General features: G+C 36.7%; 1 long non-coding RNA gene across 2 annotated transcripts in view, besides 1 other annotated feature; it reads left to right on the forward strand.

Moving 5' to 3' along the window:
- POT1-AS1 (POT1 antisense RNA 1) overlaps positions 1 to 12,271 on the forward strand; it is a 215,362-nt gene that overhangs the window by 199,319 nt on the left and 3,772 nt on the right. For both annotated transcript variants that reach the window (NR_125718.1, NR_125719.1), the window contains one exon: positions 9,382 to 9,468. This is a non-coding gene — a long non-coding RNA (POT1 antisense RNA 1). The remainder of the gene's footprint in view (positions 1 to 9,381; positions 9,469 to 12,271) is intronic.
- Positions 5,720 to 6,219: an enhancer, noted in NCBI's record as "H3K27ac hESC enhancer chr7:124774965-124775464 (GRCh37/hg19 assembly coordinates)". NCBI's record gives its function as "activates a minimal SCP1, AML or CMV promoter by ChIP-STARR-seq in naive H9 embryonic stem cells {active_cell/tissue: H9 hESC(naive)}" and the evidence as "EXISTENCE:reporter gene assay evidence [ECO:0000049][PMID:30033119]".

Below are 12,271 nucleotides of genomic sequence, written 5' to 3' on the forward strand. Positions count from 1 at the left end.
TTACTTGAACTGTAGCTTTATAGTAAGTCTTAGAGTCGTGTAGTGTCAGTACTATGATTTTGTTCATCTCCTTCAATATTGCATTGGCTATTCTTGCTTTTCCATATAAACTTCTGCTTTTCTCTATAAACTTTTGAATCAATTTATCAGTCTCTACAAACTCTCTTTTTAAACTGATTTCTTGGATACCTTTCTGCCACCCCATTACTGGCTGGTGAATGTAGAAGTCCAGTATCACCACTAGGCCTTTGTTAACATCTGAGTTATACTTGGACTCCTCATTATTGTTATGTAAAGGTGAAAGTTTTGTTCCCCATTCGGTCTTTACTGGCATCATTATGGTGTGTTATTGTTAATGCTGGGTGTTGGTGAAGGTCCTGGTTTTTTTGTTTTTGTTTTTGTTTTTTGATGGAGTCTTGCCTTGTTGCCCAGGCTGGAGTGCAATGGCGCAATCTTGGCCCACTGCAAGCTCCATCTCTCAGGTTCATGCCATTCTCCTCCCTCAGCCTCCTGAGTAGCTGGGACTACAGGCACCCACCACCACGCCTGGCTAATTTTTTGTATTTTTAGTAGAGACAGGGTTTCACCTTGTTAGCCAGGATGGTCTCGATCTCCTGACCTCATGATCTGCCCGTCTCGGCCTCCCAAAGTGCTGGGATTACAGGTGTGAGCCACCATGCCCGGTCCCAAGGTCCTGGCTTTTAACTGAGTCTTCTCTGATACCATTCTGGGATATGTGTTGAGGTGCTCATTACAGTCTCATGAATGTGGATGTTTAAAATCTGTACTCAGTCTTTCACGTGGAAAAAGGGGACACAGTTTTGTTCTGTGGTATTTGGCTGGAATTGAGTGACTGTTGTCTGCATGCTTTCTGCCTTTGCTAGGTTGACCCTTTCAGTCATACTTTTTGGGGGCTTTTCTTTCTGTGGCTGTAGGTATTTCTGAATTTCTTGTTTCTCCATTCTAACTCTAGGCTACATGAGGTTAAAAGAAAACACAGGGATCTTTCCACCATGTTGTTCCTCGGGTTTTGAGGTCCCTAGGCATTCTTCTTTCTTCTTTTTACCTTTCAGAATCTTCTTATGTTGTTTTATATGTATGTTTTTATGTCCAGAGTTTAAGATGTACTTATCAGGAGGAATAGGGAAATGAATGTCCACTCTATCATATCCTGGAAGAGGAAGTCTCTCTCTATCTCTGTGTGTGTTGAAAATGCTACATATTTATCAGTTGAGAGACAAAGAAGGACTAGATTAGGGAGGGCATTGTGTGCCAGGGAATTCCAACTAAATAATCAAAAGAAACCATTGGAGAATTTTGGAAAAGATAACTGATGTGACCAAGTAGTATTTTATTAATTTTTTTTTGGATACAGTTTTAGTCTGTAGGAGCAATTAGAAGGAGAAGTAACAGGAGGCCAATTAGAAAACTGTTACAGTAACTACATTAGAGTATTTGGGATGGTGAAAAAAGAAAAGAAAGATTGAGTTCACATTATATTTTATTATTAACAGCAACAACAAACATGTGCTGTGGAGATGCTATGAGCAAGGTGATGGCAGAGATAATGGACATAAAAGATGAAGAAGACGTGGGGTCCTTTTTCAATGAGTTGAAGTCTAGCAGAGAAGAGATGCATATAAGAATAATGGAAAACTTGTAACAGGTCAAGAGATTGAATTGTGAGCTGACAGAGAAAGTGATGACATAGTCCAAAAATGAAAAAGTGTGGGAAAAGAGTAGTTTTTAAGAGGAAGATCAAGTTTTAGATGTGTTGATTTTAATGTGAAGTGAAATATCCTAATGCAGATTCTCTGAAAGCAGTTGATTGATGAAAGACTGGAATTTAAGTAGAAGTAATGATCAGAATTAATGTACAGCTTTAATAGAAAATTTTTCCTCAAAGGCAATTTTGTAGAAGCTCTTGATATGATAATTTTAAAACAGAATAGCCCTACACCACGATTTATTGGAACTTTGAATAGAACCCATCATAGGGTGGAAAGAGCATGGATTTTGGAATCAGGATTAGCTAAGTTTAAACTCCAAACATTGCTTACTAGTATTTGATCTTAGAGCTTCAATTTCATCTGTCAGATGGGATTCTATTACTAAGTAATTAATGTTATTCTGTGGTTTATATAACATGTGAGTTAAAATGCCTGACACATAGAAAGAACTTACAGGTATTAATCCTCTTCCTTTTTATTGACCTTAGGTTTGTTTTGGAAGCAAATACCACATTGAAAATTCATTTTAAGTTCTTTGAGAAATCTCCAAACTTCTTTCCACAGTGTCTGAACTAATTTACAATCCCCCAATAGTGTATAACCCATGTAACAAACCTGCACATGTACCCCCTACATCTAAAATAAAAGTTGAAGAAAAAACCCAAAAAACAAAACACTCCACAAAATTTGTACTATGTGTTTTATACTGTCTTTGATGCAGTTCCTGTTTTTTTTTTTTTTTCACCATTGATTATAGTTTCAAACCTAAACATAAGAGTGAAAATTTTATTCACTGTTTTTGGCCATTAATTGCTCATTATATGACAATGTCAAGCTACACAATTTAGCAATACCAATGTCAAATACATTACTTACAATTATTTGAAAGTAATCTGCATATAACACAGCAAAATTTTTGTCAAGGCTGAGAGTTGATAACTCAAAGAACTTTGCGCCAAGGAGATGTCAGATGAGCTAATAGCTTGAGCAGGAGGTACTCAAGGAAGGCTTTTATGAGATGGAGGATATTTATATTGTCTTTATTTTCTCTGTCTCGTCACCTCTCACCCTCCCTTCAATCCAGTAAATCAGGCTTTTATCCTGTTACTGATTGACACTGTTTGAGATCATCAAACACTCACATTCTCTTCTACATTTCCCAACTTCCAATACCATGTCATTGGATTTTGGTCAATGGGCACGGAAATGATGTAAACAATTTTCAGACAAGGTCTTTAACAATATGCCATTCTCTCTCTCACTCTCTTCCTTTACAGTAACAAACTTGGAGGCCATTTGTTTAAAATGGCATTATACAAGATGAGTGAGGGCTGCCAAACCGGATAAGAGTTCAATGATTGACCCCTGGACATGGCATGTTTAACAAATAAACCTTTATTGGGTTAAGCCACTGATATTTGGGGGTGTATTTGTTACAACACCGTATCTTGACCACCATTCCCTAATACATGTTCTCACAATCCCACCAATTCAGCTCTTATTAAAATCATCAGTGCCTTCCATCTTCTGTCCTCATCTTATTGACTTCTTGGTGTTCAGCAGTTACTCGCTGTCTCCTTTAACCACCTTTCTTTTGACCTTCACAACAGCACTCCTTCTCAGCTTCCTTTGCTCTGCTCCTTTTATGGTCACCCTGTAAGTGCTAGAGTATCCCTAGTCTTGGTCCTTTATTACCTCTTCTTACATTAATATCCAGTCCCATAGCTTTAAATAACAGCTCTATGTCTATGACTTTCACATTTGTTTCTCTAAGTAATACCTTCATATCAGTTCTAAACCGGTAAAACCAACTTCTTACTTGAAATCTCTGCTTGCATGTCAAATATGCAAGTCAAAGTTAATATTGACATAGGAAGTCTTTAGTTTTGTCCAACAAAATCTTTTTCTTCCTAGTTCTTCCTGTCTCATACAATGGCTCCACCACCCACTCATTTACACAAACCAAAAACCTAGAGGTCATTCATTGATTGAGCTCTTCGTCCACATCACCACTCAGTCTATGTCCCATCCTTTATGAATGGCCATGCTCATGACCATATTCACTGCTGTCACCCCATTAGAGACTACTGTCTTTCTTACCTATCTTGCCATGGTTTCTCTCAACTGTTCTCATTGCTTCTCTTAGTTGGCTATAGTCCATTTTTCATTCTCTAGCCAGGCTACTCTTTTTAATGTATAAGTAAATTCATGCCATTCTCTTTATTAAGATTCTACAGTTATAAACTACCAGACTTAAAACTGCATTTCCTTATGATCTTCAGGTATCTGACCATTTTAATTCTATCTACCTCTCCAACTTCACCTCCCCCTTAATCCTGTTTACCCCCATACTCCAGCCATACTACATCTTTCTTTTTCCCAAACACACTTAGCTCCTTTTTTTTCTTCCTAGATTTTTCCCAATCACCTTCTTTCTGTGTCAGGCTCCTTGAGGTTATTCACATTTCAGACACCAGTTTCACTTGCTCAGAAAGTGCCCCAGATGCTTTTATGTTTACTTTCTTTTCCTAATGTTTTCATAGTCTGCACAACACTAATAATTATGTAAATTTATCTTGTTCATTTAGATATTAATATATCTATATTACTTCTTTCTTGTTTCCCTCCACTATGGTCTGAATGTGTCCCACTCCCTCCCGAAATTTATTTTTGAGACTTAGTCCTCAATATGGTATTAAGAGGTGGCCTTTGAGAAATGATTAGGTCATGAGGGGATTAATGGGATTAATGTCCTCACAAATGGGATTAATGTCCTTATAAAAGAGGTCTGAAAGAGCTTGTTTATTGCTTCCCCTTTGACCATGTGAGGATGAAGCAAGAAAGCAAGATCTATAAAGCAGCCCTCACCAGACACCAAATCTGCTGGCACCATGATCTTGGACTTTCAAGCCTCCAGAACTGAGAGAACTACATATCTCTTGTTTGTAAATTACCCAGTCTAAAGTATTTTGTTATAGCAGCCCAAATGGACTAAGAAACTGGTACTGAGAAGTGAGGGTGTTGATAAATATATGCATATATATACCTAAAAATGTGGAGGTGGCTTTGGAACTGGGTAATTGATAAAGGTTGGAAGAGTTTTGGAGTGCATGCTAGAGAAAGCCTATATTGATGTGAACAGGCTGTAAAGGGCAAATCTGGTGGGGGCTCAGAACCAAAAGAAAGTTGTAGAGAAACCCTCAGTATTCTAGACATTACCTAAGAGGTAGTGAACAGAATACTGGTAAAAATATGAACAGTAAAGGCTATTCTGATAAGGTTTCAGATGGAAATGTGGAACAAATTATTGGAAACTGAAGGAAAGGCAATTATTGTTTTAAAGTTGCAAATAATTTGGCTGATTGTGTTTGTGTCCTGGTGTTTTGTGGAAGGAGAAACTTGAGTGATGAAATAGGATATTTGGCAGAAGAAAGATCTAAGCAAAATGTTGAGGGAGCAGCTTGGCTTCTCTTAACTGCTTATAGTAAAATGCTAGAAGAGAGAGGTAATTTAAGGACATAACTTATAAGCGAAAGGAAAGCAGAACTTAAAGATTTGGAAAATTCTCAGCCTTCTCAGACTGTCTTGTAAGAAATGAGAAAGAATGTTTGGAAGAGTACACCAACGGTGTGGATAAAGAAATCAGTATTGATCATCCCGGTGCTATTCATTAAGACAATTGAAAAGTTATCCTGAAGGCATTTTGGAGATCTTTAGGGCTGCCATTCTCATCACAGAGTCAAAGTTCCAAAACGTTGAGAACAGAATGGTTTCAAAGGAGGGACACAGAGTGCCTGTGGGACCTCAGGGCTCACTGCCAAGCATTGACTAAAGTCTCTGCTCCCTGAATTCAGGTGCAGTGCTCCCTGCCCAACCACCCCAGGTGTGGCTCCAGTGGGCCCAAGGTGTGGCATGAGCCAGAGTAGCTGTCCCTTTGGAGGAAGAGGTGATAAAACTTGGCCACATCCACATGGTGCCAACTCTTCCAGTGTACATAGTGCAAGAGCTGTGGGGGTATATTTGCCTCCACCTAGATTTCAAAGAATGCCCTAGAGAGCCTCAGGACCCAGACAGAGACTATCTACAGGGGTAGACTTACTGCAGAGCTCCCCTACTAGGACAGTGTCTAATGGTGCTGTAGGAGCAAGGTCACCACAGAGAACCCCTACTTTGACAATATCTAGTGGAGCAGTGGGAAGTGGAGCTGCCTCCAAAACTCCAAAATAGTAGTGCATGCAACTTAGCCTGGAAGAGCCACATGCACCTGACAGCAACCTGGCAAACCAAGGAATGGGACTGCCTGGAGTCTTAGGGACCAAACCCTGCTCCAATTTATCTGGAAAGCAAGACATAAAGAGAAGATATATTCTCAAGTTTTAAGATTTAATGTTATTTGCTTTGCTGGATTTTGGACCTACTTGAGATCTATTACTCTTTTCTTCTCTTCTATTTCTCCCTTTTGGGAGTATCTATCCTACTCCTATGTATTCCATGTATCTAATCTCATGTATTCCATACATGGGAATGTCTATCCTAGGCCTGTCCATTGTCTCACAATTATATTTTGGAAGCACATAACTTATTTGATTTCATGGGTTCCCGCTGGAGAACAAATTGTGTCAGGATGGATCATACCTTAAGTCCCACACAAATCTGATTTAGATGATATTTAGATAAAACTCTGGACTTTAGACTTTGGATTTAATGTTGAAATGAGTTAAGATGTTGGGGTGATGGGATGGAATAAATGTATTTTGCATGTGAGAAGGACATGAACTTGGGATGTTCAATTATGGAATTGCTGTAGTCTGAATGTGTCCTCTCAAATTCATATGTTAAAACCTAATCCCCAATGTGGTAGTAAGAGATAAGGCCTTTGGGAGATGATTAGGTCATGAGGACTCTGCCATCATTAATAGGATTAGTGCCCTTATAAAAGATGCCTGACAGAGTTTGTTCAACCTTTCTTCTTCTACCACGTGAGGATGCAGCAAGAAGGCACTATCTCTGAAACAGTGTTTACCAGATACTGAATCTGCTGGTGCTTTGATCTTGGACTTCCCAGCCTCCAGACCTGGGAGCAATCAATTTCTATCATTGATAAATTACCTAGTCTAAGGTACTTTATGTTAGCAGCATGAATGAACCAAGACACCGCTTGCCTGCCTTTTCCACTGATGTATCCCAGTTCCTGAAACAGTGCTTAACACATAAGTAGTACTCAATAAATTGATATGTAAATTAATGAAAGATTGAATGAATGAGTAAATGTCATTATCTTTGGCAGAAGGGGTTTAGCATATTAACCTATCCATGGCCTATATTTTGAGGCTTCAGTTTTCTCTTTAAGATAATTGTTTCTTATTCATGTCAAGTAATATTAATTGTTGTGGTGGGAACACTTAATCACATTATCAGTAGCCTTCTCTCCTATGGGCAAAAATAAGTACTTTCCTTCTTTGTGTCTTCTCATGTTTTCAGGCTGTACTATCATGGGTTTTCTGACATTAGAAATCTCAGGGAATCTTACCACATAGCTGCTTACTGGCAGGGAAAATTTGTCAATACACCCCAACAGGGGATACTCTGTAAGAACCATAAGCACCTAGCATTCTTGTCCTCAGGTGACTAATTCCTGAATTGTGCATGAAAGAGTGTTAAATCACTCCAAACAAAGGAACTCTGTTTAGCTAGGAATCTTGTGTGTTCCATAATTAAAGCTTCTTTCGTAAGTCTTTTTTTCTATGTGATTTCTATCCAATATTTACTACAAAAGAAAAAATGCTTAGAAAATGAATACAACAAATCTGAATGGTCTTCCCCTTGTTGTAAAAATAGATCTTTATTATTTTGCCATTTCCTTTCAGGAATTTTTTTTTTACACTGAAAATGAAATAGTAAGAGATGAATAAGCCTAATAGATATTGGGAAAAGGAGGTAAAACATTTTCTGGGATGAGTGACTTTATTGCTTTACTATATATTGTTTAGAAGAATGTATACATTCTACTCCTCTGGACAGGGAGAGAACAATGCTGTGACTCATGCATATTTTTCCTAATATCTCTCTCTAACAAATGCTTGTTTGTTTGTTTGATGAACTTTGCGGAGAGCTTTTGATAATAAGGTTAAGAATTAAGACATCATCATACAGTGGTGCACAGATGGGCTTCAGCTGATACTTCAGAAAAATAATATCTTCATCCTCCAGCTATTTTTCCATAAATCCAGGCCACCTTTCTGTTTTACAAATAACTTACTTTTAATGCTACTGCTACTTTTTGCCATGATTACAAATTGTCCTACTATTCCTGTCCTCTGAGTAATTGTATAAATAAAAAGTACAAGGTGAAGCAACTGAAATCTCATAAGGGCAATAGTTTTCCCAGATCAAACATGCTGAGTTTTTTAAGGGTCACTTTAAGTTTCTGGCAAGCTTCTTTACATTGCACCATCACGAGTCTGAAAATGAATTAGCTGCTGCATTGAGTCACCTCAGGAAATTAAGTTTCTGTGTTTGTGCTATCTCTGGGACTTGAGCAGTAGGTTTCATTTTAGTTAGAAGGAAACTATACTACCAGAAATAAGGTTCTCCCTACCATTTTTTTACCCCAGAGCTATTTCAGGTGAACAAAAATAATAAACCAGGAAAGAAAATAAAACTACCAATATCAACCAAGGCTATAAAGAAATTAGAGGAAATTATCAAATTGGTCAGCAAGACTGAAAACAAAATGTTTGAACGTTGTCCAGTCTCAATTTTGTGTATGTATGAATGTGTGTGTGTATGTGTATGTGTGTGTACTGAATATCTCTATCATACATGCAAATTTGATTTTTGAAAGTGGCAGAATCACCAAAAATCTTTATAATTTGTGTTTAGAAATTCCACTTTAGACTGTCCTACTCTTTTCCAAATCTCTATCAACCCACACCCTTAGCTGTGTGGCATCTTTTTAACATGTGGAAAAACTTTTAATTCTGCTCTTGTACTTCAGGATTAAAATGCAAAAACATATTGATTTAGGCCAAAATAATAATATAAAGTAGTGTATATTAACATTAAAAACACATAAGGATAAAGGATTTCACATGTGTTTGATGGCAATTATATGATGAATATATTAACAGTAGTGTTTTCTTATTTTGTCCTGATGATATTAAGATGAGAGGTTAAGTAACTTTTCTAAGATTGCGGAGTCAGAATTGTTGGAATAGGAAATCAAAGCTAGATCTATTGCACTACAATGGCCCTGGGCCTTATATTATTACTTTGTTTCGCATGGATAGAAAATATGGATTAGCTGTTGGAGGAAGAAGAGAGAAGATTACTGAACTAAAGTTAAGCTTTTGATGCTTTACAATTTTAAATAAATGTTGTTATTCACTGAAGCTATAATTACATATTGTAGGCAAATTTTGGATATTTTAAGAAGTCTTAGGAACTCTTTAAAATATTGTATATATATAATTGATTATGGATATGTTGATATATATGATATATATCAACATATAAAATATGATATATATCATCACATAAAATCTGATATATATCATATATCATCAATGATATAGATATCATTTATTTAAAATAACTGTGGGTATGTGATCCATTGAGAGATAAAGTTTTTAAACTGTAATTTGTCTTTCAGATTTTAATGCAACTTGTTACACAAGATGAACCCAAACATATTTGACTTTTTATTTTCAGAAAAGCTTAATACATAGTTTTGAATATGGTAAGTGCTCAATAGTTCGCTCTTTTTTTCACCAACTATTGCCCTTGCACACACATACATTTTCATATATTATTTTAATAATTTATTTAGTAGGGTGTTTATATACATATATGCATTTTTCTACCCTGTTGTAATATTTTTCTCCACTAGTGTGTCTATACCTGATCTCAGAGATCAGGTTGTATCCTTTTCATTGATGCTTCCTTACTCATTTTATTTTCCTTTTGAATCCTCATCATACTTGTCATTACTGGTTTAACATCCATCTTTTTTGCAAAAAGTCATTTCCTTGAAAGCAAGGCCATGACTATCTTGTTCACTGATATATCATCAGCCTCTAACAAAATGAGGATAGATAGTAGGAATTTAAGAAGTATTTAATGAATTGAATTTGTATTGAAATTCAGTATTTCCCTTGTAGAATGTAACTGTCCCTGGGATGAGTGACATTAAGTTATGTTCAATTAAAACTATACATTTTCTCTCTCTTTTTTTTTTTTTTTTTTTTTTGAGACGGAGTCTCGCTCTGTCGCCCAGGTCGGACTGCGGACTGCAGTGGCGCAATCTCGGCTCACTGCAAGCTCCGCTTCCCGGGTTCACGCCATTCTCCTGCCTCAGCCTCCCGAGTAGCTGGGACTACAGGCGCCCGCCACCGCGCCCGGCTAATTTTTTGTATTTTTAGTAGAGACGGGGTTTCACCATGTTGGCCAGTCTGGTTTCAAACTCTTGACCTCAGGTGATCCGCCCACCTCGGCCTCCCAAAGTGCTGGGATTACAGGTGTGAGCCACCGCACCCGGCCCATATTTTCAAACAATATCCTAGAAGCCAGTGGTGAACGAGTAAGTGATCTATAAATGATATAAAGATGTTTCAGAAAGTAAGTTGCTGAAATTTCAGTTGTGCTTAGGACTAACTTGTGCTTATAATGCTATTTATTATCTTGGAAAATATTTTTGAGCACCACATATCTTCCAAGCATTCTGTTAATGGTAAGGATTGAGAGAAAAATAAGATAGACTAATTAATGGATTGAACTCTTCAGGAAGATTGGAAAACCTCTGTGAAGATGCATATTACTTAGACCAGAGGTTTCCACATTTTGGATTATGTATATTCACGGAATATTTAGAAAAAGTCTGGGTCTCTTTACGTATTTAAAAATTGCCATTAAGATTTTGTCATATGTTTTAAAAAATAAATAATGTGATTTAAGGCATATTTTAAATGTTATCTCTTAAAAAAATTACCTAGAACCTTTACCTTTTAAATTTCAGTAGAATCGAAATACCACAGCACTTAAATTTTTTTATTTTATTTTATTTTATTTTATTTTATTTTATTTTAAGTTCCGGGATACATGTGCAGGACATGTACCATGGTGGTTTGCTGCACCTATCAACTTATCCCCTAAGTATTAAGCCCCGCATGTGTTAGCTATTTATCCTGATGCTCTTCCTCCACCTCCCCGCTATGACAGGCCCCAGTGTGTGTTATTTCCCTCCTTGTGTTCATGTGTTCTCATTGTTCAGCTCCCACTTATAAGAGAGGACAGGCAGTGTTTGGTTTTCTGTTCCTGCATTCATTTGCTGAGGGTAATGGCTTCCAGCTCCATCCATGTCCCTGCAAAGGACATGATCTGATTTATTCTTATGGCTGCATAATATTCCATGGTGTATATGTATCACATTTTCTTTATCCAGTCTGTCATTGATGGGCATTTGGGTTGATTCCATGTCTTTGCTATTGTGAATAATGCTGCAATAAAAATATGCATGCATGTATCTTTGTAATAGAATGATTTATATTCCTTTGGGTATATACCCAGTAATGGGATTACCACAGCACTTTTATATGCACAACTAGCCATTTAAAAATTCTTTAGCAAACTCTTCTTTCAATACAAATGTTAAATAATGTCTTTCATTTCTTAAATTTTATTGACATTTCATTTGCCTTAGATAATTTTATAAGAAAGTAATATACATTTATATATTTTTTGAGTTAAGATCTCACTATGTTGCACAGGCTAGAGTGCGGTGGCATGATCATGGCTCACTGCAGCCTCAACCTCCCAGGCTCAAGCAGTCCTCCCATCTCAGCCTCCCAAGTAGCTGAGACCACAGGCACACACCACCACAACCAGCTAATTTTTAAATTTTTTATAGAGATGGGTTCTTACTGTATTTCCAGGATGGTCTAGAACTCCTGGGATAAAGCAATGCTTTCATCTCAGCCTCATTAAGTGCTAGGATTACATTATGTTCTATGAACCCAAGATTCTGAGTGCTAAAATGTTTCTCCTAGACTGAGTTATATTTGTAATTATAATTAATACACAATTGATCAAAGTAACATATATAAAACATGATAAGTATAAATGTATAAAATAAAAATTTTTAAATTTATGTGTATAATATAAAGTACAATTTTTGTTATAAATGCAACTATTAATTTTTAAAAGGGACTATATTTTTCACGTAGTTCATTCATATGCTCAAAAATAATTTTTTCTTGGCCATAATTAAAAAATAAAAAACATAATAAATGTTAGCATGAATGTGATAAAAAAGGAACACTTTTACACTGCTGGTGGAAATGTAAATTAGTACATCCACTGTGCAAAACAGTAGGGAGATCCCTCAAAGAACTAAAAGTAGAGCTACCATTCCCCAAAGTAGAACTACTGGCAATCCCATTACTGGGTATCTACCCAAAGGAAAAGAAGTCATTATATGAAGAAGACAAATGTACATGCATGTTTATGGCAGCACAATTTACAATAGCAAAAATATGGACCCAGTC

This window comes from Homo sapiens, chromosome 7, assembly GCF_000001405.40.
Source record: "Homo sapiens chromosome 7, GRCh38.p14 Primary Assembly".
Taxonomy (NCBI): Eukaryota; Metazoa; Chordata; class Mammalia; order Primates; family Hominidae; genus Homo; species Homo sapiens.